Source organism: Homo sapiens, chromosome 2 (assembly GCF_000001405.40).
Source record: "Homo sapiens chromosome 2, GRCh38.p14 Primary Assembly".
NCBI classification, from domain to species: domain Eukaryota; kingdom Metazoa; phylum Chordata; class Mammalia; order Primates; family Hominidae; genus Homo; species Homo sapiens.
The window spans coordinates 165,746,331-165,761,110 of NC_000002.12; the positions used below are offsets into that span (position 1 = coordinate 165,746,331).

The 14,780-nt window shown below is 34.5% G+C and overlaps 1 protein-coding gene across 5 annotated transcripts in view; it reads right to left on the reverse strand.

Moving 5' to 3' along the window:
* The window catches only part of GALNT3 (polypeptide N-acetylgalactosaminyltransferase 3), a 47,105-nt gene continuing 33,582 nt past the window's right edge, over positions 1,258-14,780 (reverse strand). For 4 of the 5 annotated variants that reach the window (XM_011510929.2, XM_017003770.2, NM_004482.4 and 1 more), the window contains exons 5-11: positions 13,006-13,240; positions 12,417-12,534; positions 10,717-10,917; positions 8,602-8,733; positions 8,297-8,398; positions 3,412-3,564; positions 1,258-2,573 (exon numbers count right to left, since the gene is read on the reverse strand). In XM_011510929.2, the coding sequence (XP_011509231.1) occupies positions 2,451-2,573; positions 3,412-3,564; positions 8,297-8,398; positions 8,602-8,733; positions 10,717-10,917; positions 12,417-12,534; positions 13,006-13,240 (1,064 nt within the window). In that variant the 3' untranslated portion in view covers positions 1,258-2,450. Of the gene's footprint in view, positions 2,574-3,411; positions 3,565-8,296; positions 8,399-8,601; positions 8,734-10,716; positions 10,918-12,416; positions 12,535-13,005; positions 13,241-14,780 lie in introns of those variants that run through there. The other variant, XM_047443883.1, reaches the window with a different exon arrangement.

The window sequence follows — 14,780 nt, forward strand, 5'->3', positions numbered from 1 at the left end:
CAGTTGGATCATGATATATCAACATATGAGTGATACATGCAGGGCACTCACTTTGGTTTTTTTGAAAATATGTTTAAGTTCATTTATGAAATATTTTTGAGAAATAATTTTGTGTTTAGAGATATAATAAGCTCTAAGAGAAATATATGCTCATAGATATTCATGCCTAGTGGTACTTACCTTCTACTTTAAAATTATTTGCCTTTCTTTCTGACCCATGAGACATAGCTCAAAAGTAATAACAAGTCTTACTCTGCCTACCATCACTTCTGATATGGTTTGGCTGTGTTCCCACCAAATGTCATCTTGAATTGTAGCTCCCATAAATCTCACGTGTTGTGAGAGGGGCCCAGTAGTAGATAATTGAATAATGGGGGTGGTTTTCCCCACACTGTTCTTGTGGTAGTGAGTAAGTCTCACGAGACCTAACGGTTTTATAAGGGGAAACCACTTTCACTTGGTTCTCATTCTGTCTTGTCTCCCTCCACGTAAGACATGCCTTTCACCTTCCGCCATGATTGTGAAGCCTCCCCAGCCACGCGGACCTGTGAGTCCATCGAACCTATTTTTCTTTATAAATTACCCAGTCTCAGGTATGTCTTTAACAGCAGTGTGAAAACGGGCTAATACAACTTCTGATAGAAAATTAGGCACATAATACACATTAGTTGAAATAATCAACTGGAGAATGTAGGCTTTTTTTTTTTTTTTTGAAAGAGTCTTGCTCAGTCACACAGACTGAAGTGCAGTGGTGTAATCATAGCTCACTGTAGCCTCGATCTCCCAAGCTCAAGCAATGCTTCTGCCTCACCTTCCTGTATAGCTGGAACTACAGATGCGTGCCACCACACCTAGGTAATTTTATTTTTAATTTCATTTTTTAATTTTTACTTTTTGTAGAGATGAGATTTTGCTATGTTGCCCAGGCTGGTCTGGAACTCCTGAGCTCAAATGATCCTCCCACCTTTGCCTACCAAAGTGCTGGGATTAGAAGCTGAGCCACCATGTCCAGCTCAGAATGCAGGCTTTTTAATACAAATTCAAACTTACAAACAAACAATGAGAAGATAGGGTCAATAACCAGTATATGCTCTTTTTCGTACAGCTGAGGCTCTGCCAGATTTAAAATATGAAACCGATCGTATTTTACTTCGGGAACAAGAATACAGGAGATCTAAATATAAAATGACGAAAAACAAAAAAAAAAAGTGGTAAATCTCCTAAGCAAGCGTCAAATTTTTTTAAAACATCATTCTATCAGATGCTTAAGGAACTTTATCAGAAATTAATACAAAATTTTCTAAATATTGAACACAGGAATTTTGCTATTCCTCATTTTTTGTGCCATAAGAAATATCTGATGGTTTTACAAACAATAGGCGCTTAGAAATTCAGCATACAAAATTCATTTTCCCCCACCTATTATCAATTACAGATTTTACCCAAAAGAGGAAAAAAACTTAACCAAATGATTACAATAGTGTTGAGGATTTTTTATTGTGTTTTCCACATAGATAAAAAAATAAGGCTTTTTGATGAAAAGAATCCATTACAAAGTCAAAAATCCATTACAATTATAATTGAATCAGTAACAAAATTTAGCTTTAAATGAGTCAAGTATTCTGCATTTGAAATTTAATATCACAAACATTCAAGATTAGTGAATTTTGGTAAGAAAAAAATACTAGAAGAAAGGAAAAGGACACCTTTTCAACAGATAGTAATTTATAAAAATTTTTTTAAAAGTGCTTTGGGAAAACACACAGTATCATTACTTAAGAAAAGTCATTTAAGGAAGACTTAAGTGCTTCAAGTGGAGTGTATTACAGACTAAAAAATGTTTTAAAATTTGCCAAGAAATTTAAGTGTTAAAAATACTCTTCTCCTTATTCAGTTTCATGTTTAAGGAAACATTTGACAGACAAGTAAACCAAACGCAAAAAAAAGTTCACCTGCATTTTAAACTAATAAATTCTGGATCTGTAAAAGCTCTTGGTTTGTACACAGAGGCCAATGCTGACATTTATTGATCTATTTTTATGTAGTTAAAAAAATACAGTAACAAATCTTTCTTCCTATCCCCCCAAAAAACTAGGGGAAATATTTTAAATTGTGAGTGTGTGAATGTAGCTATATATATATATCCCTAAGTGTACAAAACACACAAACATCACTTTACTTGGAAAATTATTTTCATCATACTGTAAACATCTCTTCCCCTACATCTGGACATTTTGAAATAGTCTTTGGTATTACTAGTTATTGTGCTTTGAAACAGAAACTTGCAGAATTTCTGTAGTAGTGCTACATAAAGATATAAATAAGAAAAATGCACTTGGAATAAGTTACATTTAGCTGCTTTTGCATAATTTTCAAAAACTACAGTGTATGCCTAGTCACAGTTTTATGAGAAAGAATATTTCCTTTTTCAACTTAATTTTAAGGAACACTTAATCATTTTGGCTAAGTATCCATTTTTGGAGTGGATCTGATGGGTTGCATGACACTAAACTTGGATGCTCTCCATTTGCTGAAAGGCACATTTTTAAGAATGGATTGTATAGAAGTTGATCCTAGAATAAAAGGAAACAACAGACATTAAATTCCAAGACTCATAGTTAAGTGACAAATATGAAAAAGATTTTATGGTTTCATTGAAGCAAACCTAATAGCAAATCTTTCTAAGGTGAGCCATGTCTGATAAACTCTTTTTGGCTTCTAGTGTAAATGCCACCTTTTAAGCTACTACTCTTCAATTAGTAAGATATTACATAATGAAGAGAGGCAGACAGAACAAGGTTTGAATCACATTTTCAAACAAGAAGTATTCCCTTGATATATCCATAAGTGACAAACTCTTAAAAACATCATAAATTATAAAAGCCAGTGTTAACGTTTTCTAGTACTGCACAAAACAATGTTCAGGTAAGAATTGCTATGATACAGCTAAGCCTTAAACATGTTTAAAAACAGAAGAGACCTGTTATGTATTCTCTCAATTCTAGGTTTGTGAAAAAGTGCTAAAACAGGGTAGAAAAAAATTAATCACTTCAAGTGAGAAGATATAATAATTTTTCTTCTCTCTGACAGAAAAAAAATATGACTGTTGCTAAAAGCATTATAAGAAACCCTAAATAGTAAAAAACAAGCGACTAATATTAATAATTCACAGAAGTGCTCATCTGCATATATCACGGTTCAACCAAGCAACTTAATTTTTTGTTACTAAGAGTACTTAATTCATAGATATATTCTCTTATCACATGGGTAGAAACACATAATAACAAAGTTAATAAAGGGAGAGAAATTCTGATAGATAATATTAATGTACCATGTTCCACTCATTTTCCCAGATAAGCAAGTAGAGCTAAGAAAAATAGTTAAATAGATGAATTAATTGCACTGAGGTACCTTCTGGATCTCCCATATCTGCTCTCCAGTGACAACTGTCTTGTGACCTTTGTAGGTACATGCCTTCAGCTGAACGAGACCTTGAGCAGCATGAAGACATAATTCCTTCTGGATGTTGTGCCGAATTTCATGTTGAGCAGAGTATTCAAAGTACTATGGAAGGAATAGCACTGTTACTGACAAAAGCAACCCATGTGCTCAGTTGCAAAATAAATAAATAAATCAGCAACTCGTTAAATAATAAAGTCATTTCTATTTCAACAAAATAATACAATAAAAATAGTTATTAGAAACATAAGCTGAGTTTTTGTGATAGACGATACAATAGCCTTCCTTCATCAACAGGTGGTTACTTCATTAACAAGGTGCTGTCTTCCTCCCCATACCAGAAGTTGGAAGTTATCAAGGAGAGTGGAGGCTATCCCAGGCATTCCTCAGAAAAGGGAATGAAGAGTTATAACAAGAACATTAATTGCCTCTCTCCCACAAGTGTTCCATCTCTCTTCTTCATCTCAATCAAAGGTGTTTTCACTAAACTAGGGACTTCAGGGTGTTCACCATGCCTCAGTTTTCTCACTAGAAAATGGGTAATTTAATAGTTCCTACCCCACAGGGTTATGAAGATAAGTGGGTTAATACGCATAATACATTTAGAACAATGACTGGCACACGGTGAGTTTTCATACATTTTAGCTATTGTTACTACTGATGCTTCTCTTTCTCCACATATCCAAGTAATTCGTCCCTTAGCTGCACTATTCCTCTCAGATGTTAACATCCCATCCATTCTCACTTCCGTGTACTCACTTCTGTTACTCAGACTCTCAGAATTTTTACTGAAACACCTACAGCTACTTCCAATTTCTGTTCCTATCATCCAGCAATCCAATCTGCTGCCAGATAGTCTTTTAAAGCATTGGTTTGATCCCTGACTGCCCTTGCTTAAGTGAATCACTACTGTTGCTAAGATAAAGTCCACACTCCTTAATTGGTACATGAAATCTTTCTTTTTGATCTTGCATCAATCATTGCCCCAGTTATATATTATGCTTCTTTCACACAATTCTACCAATCAGAACATATGTATCTATAACTCTAAGACTTTGCTTTACAGTCTGTCCTCTGCCTGGAATACACTTTTGACCCTTTTCTGCCTGGCTAACTCCTTTTTAATCCTTCAAGAGCCAACTCAAATACTACCTTCCTTCTTTGGCTTTGCCTGAATTTGCCCTGCTGCACAAAATTACAATCTTTTCAAGGTTCCCATAGTACATCAGAGATAACTTTTCTAGCACTCTATTAGAATTGTGTGTGGTGTGTAGACCTGGCTTCCCCATAGACTGAAGTCAGGCAATTTATCGAGTCATAACACCCATCACAAATCCAATATTTCATAATATTGACATTATAAAGATAAAATAAGTTAACATAATTGATTTTCAATAATGAAATAATTAGTAGGAGCACTAATATTTGTTAAGTCCTTATTACATGTTAGGCAGGCACTGTGTTAAACTCTTTATGTGTATTACAGTAGGCACTCTACAAACATTCGCTGAATTCACAGAGCCATATATCTTGAGTTTCCCTACTCTTAGTCTCATGCTTAATTTATCTCCGCCCACAAGCAAAACATCAGTCATTTTTAGAACTAGTAGTTCTTCAGATGGAAACACAGGAAGAAACTGAGTTTAGATGATGAAAATAGCATTCTAGCTATACTTGGCTAAGAAAGATAAGCCTTAAGATCTCAAAAATGGTAACAAAGGCTGTCGAGTATTTTACCCATTATTAAAAAGTCATTAAAATAAAAATTACAAAAAATGGAAAATATTGAAAGTACTTTGGTAACAAAAAAGAGCACATAATTGGATAACTGTGAATGTTGGAGAGACCCATTACTTAGAACGAGTAGAGAAGAGGCAAAGCAGTAAATATAATCAAGTTATAATGACTCAAACTGCATTACACTAGTAATATTGGCCAGCTTAGTCACATAACCAAAATATTTATTTTTATTTGGCATACATGAAGTTTTATGCTATAAAAATATTATCTGATCAAAAGTAGAAGGAAACATGAAAAAATGATCAAGTTATATAATATCTAAAAATTTTAGCACTCAGGGAACTAAAATTTGCAAAACGGTTTAAGTGCAATGCTTGATTAAAAATAAAATGTCAAGGAAATAAAGCAAAATAAAATCAATAGCTGTGTTAGGGTAACAAAAGCTGAAGTTTCTATTTAGTATATACACCAGATAATATTTATTCTTCTGCTCAAAACTCTTCAATTGTTTCTGTCAAAGTCAGAATTAAGTCCAAGTTTCTTAATGGGGCCAGTTAAGCCCTACATGATCAGGTCCCTATCAATGCCCCGACCTCATTTCCTAGTCCTCTTTGCTAGACCACTCTGCTCTAGGTACACTGGCTATCTGCTTTCTCCATGTATCTGCCTCTGGGCCTCCACTCTTGGAAATCCTTCCTCCAAGATGAGCATCTTCTCCTGGAACACTCTCTCACAGTATTCAGGCCTCCCTCTAAGATCGCTTTTCCAAAAAGGTCTTCCCTCACCTCTTAAAATAACCACCCTACCCCGAAACACACTATTCCCTTACCTGCTATATTTTTCTTCATGCCCAAAACTACATATTTTTTTCTTTGTTCCTGTGGAACATAAGCTCCACAAGATCAGGAGCTTTGTCTTTTTACTACGGTAACAGTCAGTACAAGCTACTTTATAGGTTCTAAACAAACACTTATTGAAAGAATATGTGAATGTTTTCCCATCCCCCAATTTCTAAAAGATAGCTATATTCTATTTAAAATGTAAACATATTTTTGATACAGAGCTATCATAAAGCTGTTATTATCTTTATGAAAATGATAACAGAAAAATGGAAAAAAGCAATGTGTACAATATATCTTCAGCTTTTAAGATAAAATAAATGTAATGCTAGAAGAAGCCTAAGAGAAATTTATAGGGATTTACATTTACTAGTAAGATTTTAACAAATGCAGAAATATTTCCCTTTGCTCAAAATCTTAATTTTTACAAGCATAGATCAGTGTTATTTCCAAAGAATGCAATTATTTATGTAACTATTTTTCTTCTAATATATGGAGGGTAAGAAAATTCTTAAAAAGATGCATATAGATTTATGCACATACACATATATGTACAGATATATATGTATATAGATATAGGTATAGATGTATGTCTGTCTATATGCATCCATATATATCTCCATCCTATTTCAGAATTACACCTTAACCATCCAGCAATAGATCCAGTTCACCAGCTCTGGCTTCTGGGCATCTGTATCATCTGCCCTCAGTAGATTGATTGGTTTAGGTTAATAAGGATTAGAACTAGATTAAGCTGAGCCTAATGGGTAGGAAGAAATATAGAAGAGGATGGACCAGGAGATAAACTGGCTCTTTTTTCCTAAAACTGACATCTCAAAGTTTCGTCCCATTAAAATAGGACATCATGGATATTAATTATTGCAAAAATCCTCCACACACATCTTGGACTCTACACCAAAATACCTGCAATGCCCAGAAGAGATACTCCAGGCTCTTCTCTTCATTTCACTTTCCTTCACACTCTTCTTATTCTGTTGCCATTCCCCACAGCCACCTCACTAGCTCCTACCTACTTTTTTTTTTTTTAATGTTTTCAAATATCATCTTTCTCAGGAAAATGTGTGGACACCCAGTCTCATTCAATGCCCTTTTCTATACCCCCAGAACACTCTGAATGCTTTATCCTAAGGAACTGCTAGTTTATAGATTTCCTAAAGGAGTTAGAGTCTAAATAGCTTGAACTCATCAGAGTATCTGGCATGCAGGGCTCACTCAATGAATTTGTTGAATGAACAAATGAGGGAAATAGTCTAATCTTTCCAGGAGTTAAGCTGCAAAAGGTAAGGAAAGGAAGCTTAAAAAAACAGAAACTTTGTATATAACATGTTCTCTACCCATAGGCAAGTAAATAGTAATATTTGACATGTGAATCTTAATCAGTAAAATAGTCAAAAGGTAGTAAAGCAGGTATGTCACTAATCAAGGAGAATCTTCCTCTTTTGTTGGAGAAGGAGGAACATATTGAAATAATATTGTGGCCCACAAAATTAATTTATAATGCTCTATTTTGTTATTAACACTTGATGTAATTTGTGATTCAATCCAGTTATATGTGGCCTTTATGTGTAAACTTGCAAAATCACCATGCCAATAGTCATGCAAAAGTTAAAGCATCAAAGAGCTACATAGAAGTTTCTTTTTAAAAAAAATTTCAAATGGCATTATTCTATTATTTTCTCATTTTCCTTTTTTTTTTTTTAATTTGTTTGTTTGTTTTTGAGACAGAGTCTCACTCTGTCACCCAGGCTGGACCGCAATTGTGTGATCTCGGCTCACTGCAACCTCCACCTCCGTGGTTCAAGCAATTCTCCAGCCTCAGCCTCCCAAGTAGCTGGGAACACAGGCATGCACCACCACGCCCGACAAATTTTTGTATTTTTAGTAGAGATGAGGTTTCACCATATTCGCCAGGCTGGCCTTGAACTCCCGGCCTCAAGTGATCCACCCACCTCAGCCTCCCAAAGTGCTGGGATTACAGGCGTGAGCCACTCAGCTCGGCCTCCTTTTTTTTTTTTTTTTTTTTTTTTTAATGGTTAAGCTACTCAAATTGTTTTCAGAGCCAGAGTAAAAACCAAAAAAAAATACTCATCAATATCAATTGCCAAACTCAGTCTGAAAACATTTCACACACAGCTTACCCAAGTATAAAGCTGCTGTGGGACTTCTGAAAAATAGGCAACATCTCACTTGTGCTTGTAAATGCTTTACAAGTGAAGGATTTTTAATGCAGTGCTCACCTGGTTTCCCCCAAGTCCATGACATGTATACATAATTAATGGTTTGCCTCCTTGATTGTTTTCTCCAACATCCAGACATAGAGGCTGACCAACGCTTTTAATCTAAAGGAAAATTTTCAAGTTATGAAAAGTTTTTTAATCCATGTGATTTATATATTTTTAAAATAATTTAGAAAGTAATGTTAATGATTATAATGTAAAATCTCAAAAGCAATAAAGAAAGTATTTCAGCAATTTTCTTAGAACCACATAAAGGTTGGTGGCAAGGAGTATATTAATTAAAAAAGGAACAGGAAAATACTCACGTATCCAGATATAACAGGATTAAGGTCTGGCACATACACCTCTGGATAAATGTTGTTCAGATACCATGTAAAATTTTTACACTGAAGGCGGTGTTTTATTTCAAATCTTTTTGAAAGATCACCAAATGCTTTCTGTAGAAACATGAGAAATGAAGGGAATGCTTAATTAAAACAACATTGATAAAGCACTTAAAATACTCTTATTTGTATTTCTATTTAGGTATTTTTAAAAATCCATGCTAAAAATTCAAGAGGCAATTCAACAGCCTTCATCATTCATTCAAGTAAAAACCATGCCTGCCTGTTCATTTCTGGCTTTAAAAGAGAGTCAACACCACTTCAGTGCTGATTAAAATACTAAAATGATGCTATTTTATTCTTCATTTGTGCCACAAACATTCCCTACAAGACAAAGATTTCTAGTAAAATGCTGTGGGCAAAGGAATGGTGGTAGGAGCATCCAAAATTGGTCCCAACTTTATACCTAAAAATGATCTGCAAAGTGAGGTGTCAGAAATCAGGTATAGACAAACAGTGCCAATACACAATGCAACTTCTATCTCTTCTCCATCAAGATCACAGAAAACCACCAGCAAGAAATAACCCACTGGGAGTAATTTTTCTAGTTTCAGGATGTTGCTTGTTCTTAACAATATCCCCAACTGAACCTTTAGTAGAAAAAGGCAATTTTCAAGTTAAATGAATTTTGCTTTCCTTCATTTTAACGTACTAAGAAAATAACTTTTTTAAAAAACCATTATTAAACTTCAAGGTATTTGACCTACAGGCAAAATATTAGAGAAAAAGTACATGTAATATCTAAATGTATGCAAAAGTAAATACTCAATCTTATCAGTTCAACTAAAGAAAATATTTTCTTATGCCAACTTTGATGTCTTGAACCCAGGCGTTTTAGCAAAAAGTATGAGTCTTTAGGACTTCTGGCTAGCTTATTACATTTACCATGTAGATCTATGTGTCCTGTGGTAACCAACAGGTATTTGCTGATTTATGTGCCCCTTTGTGGGGGACAAGCAGAGCATAAGCTTCATTTAGTGCCCACTTGCCTGCTTAGCCAAGTACTATTGTACAGTACACAATCTGCCCAATTTGTCTTCATGGCCTTGGGTAAAAAGATAGCAATCTAACTCAGTAGTGCTCTTAATTTGCATCCTAACAGGGAGATACTGGAGACCAGAGAAAAAGGGAAAGAGGTAACCAAATCGTTCTTCACCGCAACAGCCAAAATATTGATACCCTTGACTCCCAATAAATACTCCACCTTCCCTCACCCTGCAAATTAGCACTATCTATTTCCTACAAAGAGATGAGTACTATACACTGAAGCATGGTCTTAAACTATCTAGTTAATTTACCTTATCTAATATTATTAAGACTATTGGAACTCACTTCTAATATATTAGGTTTCATGATTCTGCAGAGCAGAATCTATTTATGGCAGGTTAATAACAAGAGTACCATATATTTGTTAGCACTTATCACTTTCTTATTTCACAGCTACTCTGGGAGAGAGACAGCATGCGTATTTCATCTCTTAAAACAGGGAAGGAGAGAAAAGAAATATGTTAAGCATGCACTCCATGTCCAGCCACCTTGCAGCCACTCTATGAAGTGTCTTCCCTATTTTACATTCTCAAAGGCTTTGCCAAAGTAACATCTCCAGTAAGTAGTGAAACTAGAGCTTGAAAAAAAAAGGCTTGGCACTCCTGGTTTATTCTCATGCCACATTAAGACACTGTCTCTATCTCCAGTGCAAAAAGTCACTTAGAACCTTTATTTAGGTGTTATATCTCCTAAAACCAGTAAAAACAGTTCTACTTAATTTTCTTCGAGTAAAATATTGAACCAGGGCAGCAACAAAAATGAACTATCTTTCATATTAAAAACATCAAGTAGAATTCCTGATTTTTAAAAAGCAGTTTACTTAGTTTTTTTCTTAAAAAAGGAAACTTGGATTCATAAGTCATGTACTTTAAGAGTTAAAAACCTACTTTCAAATTTTTTGATGTTTTGTACTTGAGATGAATCGACGCAAAAGGACGTGTGAACTTGTTATAGATTTTATTGCAATTTAACTACTTAGCTTTAACTTACTTGTTTAACAATTTTTGCTGCATCTGTATTTCTCCTATAAAATATTTCCTTGTATTCATCCATCCAGACTTCTGCAAGGCGAACTTGGTTTCTAGCAATCACCTGAGTGCCTTTTGGAAAGCTATGAGGGCTTTTGCTGCGAAAAACATGTCCAACAACAGAGCAAGGCATAATCTCCAACTGCCCACCACATTGCCATACCTGATAATTAATGATATTTGTTTAAATTTACAGTATTTTAGAAAAATCAAAGTGTTGCTTTTAAGTTCACCTTTAAGGTATTATGAAAAACAAAATTAGAGAAGAGATTACAATATTACAAATAGTCTCTGTCCCCTGCCATTTCAACTTAAGTTCTTAAGTGTAAGGAATTATTTTATTAAATGGCATAGACACTAAAGACAACAGAAGTGCATTTTCAGTAAGTTAACAAAATGGTGATTTCAGATTTTTCATAAAAATGAATTCCAGGCTTTTGTTTTTGCAAATAATTATGTAAGTTCTCTAATATGCACAGAAAACTAAAGGCTCTTATGCATTTGACTTCTGTCTGAACTACTGACATAGTCACTTCACTTAAACTAGAGTTTCTCTTCAAAGTTTGGATATAAGTGGACTCAGACCCTATTTATCTCTTGTATATTCAATTTTGTAACCAAGAAAACAATTCCAGATGGCTATTATTACCAATGATCATTCTACTGAACTTGCAAAGTAGAGGATGATTATTTAAAAATTCATGCCAATTTAGAGAGAAAACGTCAAAAAAAATCCTTATTGGCATTAATGCTAAATAAAATGGCAAATCATGAAATCAATGCCTTTTCACTTAAATATCTTAATAATTGACTCTGCCATAGTTACCAAGCAAAGAATCAGAAAATAAGTCATATTTAATACTATGTGCTTGTAGTAGAGCAAGTGATTACAAATCTCTTTCTCTCCTTTCTTTCTTGAACAAATGAGAAGACTCAGTGATATGTTCAATTCAACAAACTGTGCTTGTGACCCAACACGTGCTAGGGGTTGGAAATACTGAAATGAATAAACAAGACCCCGCCATAAGCAGTTCAAACTTGGCTAAGATCATCACTGCCAGTATGTGATGGAGCCAGAGCCAAAACTTAAATCTTCTAACTCCTAGTTCAGTTCTTTTTCCACTACATTCCAGCCTAAGAGATGAAAAATGAATGATAAAGTTACTGCAGAAAATGAAACTCATGAAATCAAATACATAAGGTACATACGGAGTCTACCCAAAGCCTTTTTTTATATTAACTTATAATATGTATAGAAAAAATCAAGCTCATTCATTCCAAACAGTTAAGTCCAATGTCCTTTAAAATTATTCATAAATGTTTTTCCATTCTAACTCCCTTGATGATCAACTCATTTCCTGAAGCACTAGATTTAATTATATTTATCTTGGCTGGAATTCAGTAGCTACAAGTGCATTAATTGGTGTTACTGCCTGGACACAGGAGTTTAACTGATTCCTCTTGTTACACTGGCGACAATGAATAAATATATTAAGTTACATATTAAAAGAAAATATTCTTATTCCAAAATTTCCAGCAATTAAGTTTCAGAAAGCACAAAAAGTAGAGTGCACACATCTGTAATCATATGTACCAGCCGATTAGAACACAATATATTTCATTGTTTAATATATCTGCTATATTTAATTTCCATAAACTTACTCTGAAAGACATTTCTATATTTTCACCTCCCCAGATTTCCATTTCTTCATCATAGCTTCCAATATACTCAAAATATTCTTTTGATATGGAAAAAAGTCCTCCTGCAAAAGTGGGTGTTCTGAAAAATAATCCATTGTCAAATTTTGTTATAAAAACTAAACAAGATAAAACAGCATATTTTAAGAACTGAAGTTAAAAAATTAAAGCCATATCACATTTTCAAAGCTTTTATTCAGATTAATAAAAACTAGAAATGCTATCTTCAAAGTCAAGATTTTTGGGGTCGGGGGGAGTACTTCGTGTCCTCTCCCATTGGAGTAAACTTAAATGTCTTCTCCTAACCATGCTTTACGATTTTTAAGTAATGATTGATGAGGAAGACATAAGAGCTCACTCACTGCTACCTCTTACTCAGCAACATCATGTATAAGCAAGTACACAAATGAATGACTTTTAGATTCTCTTTATATAGAATATGTGTGTTCTTTATCAATTACCTCAGAGGCAATTGCTATAAAGCAAACAGTGTGTACATATTCAATGTATGGTATAGGGTGTAAATATAAGACTCTGAGAGCAATCATCTTACTTAATTGGGTAGGTTTCATCTTTCCTTCTTTGCTTCTCATGATCAGGAAGCGACTCCCAGCCAAATGAAAGACTCCAGTCAAAATTTCCACGGTTATGGTTACTTCCATAAGGAGAAGGTTTGTTGAATTCAAACGTGTTCAGATCTATGGATGCAATATCTGGACTTACGACAGCCGTGTAGTTCTCAGCTATTCTGGCCAACAGAGGTTCTAGCCAACCATAGAAACACTCACCTGGAGGGAACAGAATTTTAATTAATTCAATAAAAACATTGAAGTTTTTTTCTTTAGTTATTTAGGTGAAGGTTTACAGAGAAATGAGAATAACAGAGTCAATTTGTGTTTTGAACATGTATATAATGGAGATTTCTTTCTTCCTCAGATTTATTGAGATATAACAAATAAAAATTCTATACATTTGCAGTGTATATCATAGTGTTTATATATGTATACATTGTAAAATGATTATTGCAATCAAGCTAATTAACATATCCATCACCTTATCGGCTTATGGAGCGGGTGGTAAGAACATCTAAGATCTACTCTTAGCAATTTTTGAGTAGACAATATATTATTATTAATTACAGTCACCACGTTGTACAATAGATCTCCAGAAGGGGAGATTTTTTAAAGGTTTATTGTGATGAGATGAGGGTAGGATGAAAAAGGTGAAAAAAGATTCACTACAGTTAGAAAAATTCCCCTACAGATGATGACCTTCTTTCTTCTACAAAAGATGCAAAATAACACCAGTGTATTTAAAGTTTAGATGATGTGTTAAAATGGCCTATGAGTCAAAGGTAGCTTTTTGCTGTTCCACATTACCTGGCCCTAAAAGTGTTCTGATTTATTTAAACTCGTATCTCCCTGAATAAGGTACAGTAATTGAAATTTTCATTTATCTGACTGGGTCTTAGGAGAAAATAAGGAGTCAGTATAAATTCCGATTTTAGCAACTGGAGAAGAAGGACCATTCAAAGCTGCCCCAGACCTAATATAAAGGGAGGGCCAAGGAGTTTCATGTCATGATAGGTCTAAGCCCTGGTCACAGGCCAGGCTGTTTTATGTAACACACAGCAAGTTCAGCCAATGCATGTGCTGTCCTATTCTGGGCTCCCCACAAAGCAGTATTTGGCAGTCATGGTCCGGGAGGACCGTCAGACATATCCACCCAGTGGGTAGTGGGTAAGAATGTCCAGTATGATCTTATTGTAATTTTGAACAACGAGAAGAAATACCAGAGGATGGTATTTTCCTTTTTAAAGCACCTCTCTAGCATTACCTTTAGTGTTCTCTTCATTTTCTAAATGTCTGGTATTAAAAGAGAACTGAATGTGATGGCTCTAAGCAACACAAGCACATCCAAAAGCCCTTCTGTAATAATCGGTGTGTGCTCAAAACTAGTAATTGGGTGAAACATAACCTAAGCACTGGCCAATTCAAAGCTAGACACTCATACAAAGTATAGCCCACTAAACTCAGAGCTCAAGGGACAAAATGACAGTTTAGTAATAACTAGCATGCATATGACACATTGACTCTAAAAATGCTTTCTAAATACTTCAAAAACTTTGACTCTGAAAATAATTAAAGTACAAAGAAAAACCAACAGCAGCAAAGTCAAACAAAAATTGACAATGTTTATGTAAGGGATACCAAAGAAGATGGGATGGGGCACCCCTAACCTGGCATAAAAAGTATATATATAAACATATTTTGGTTTTGTGGTTTTTATTGAAAATTCGCAGACTCCTTTTTATGCCAAGGAGTCTGC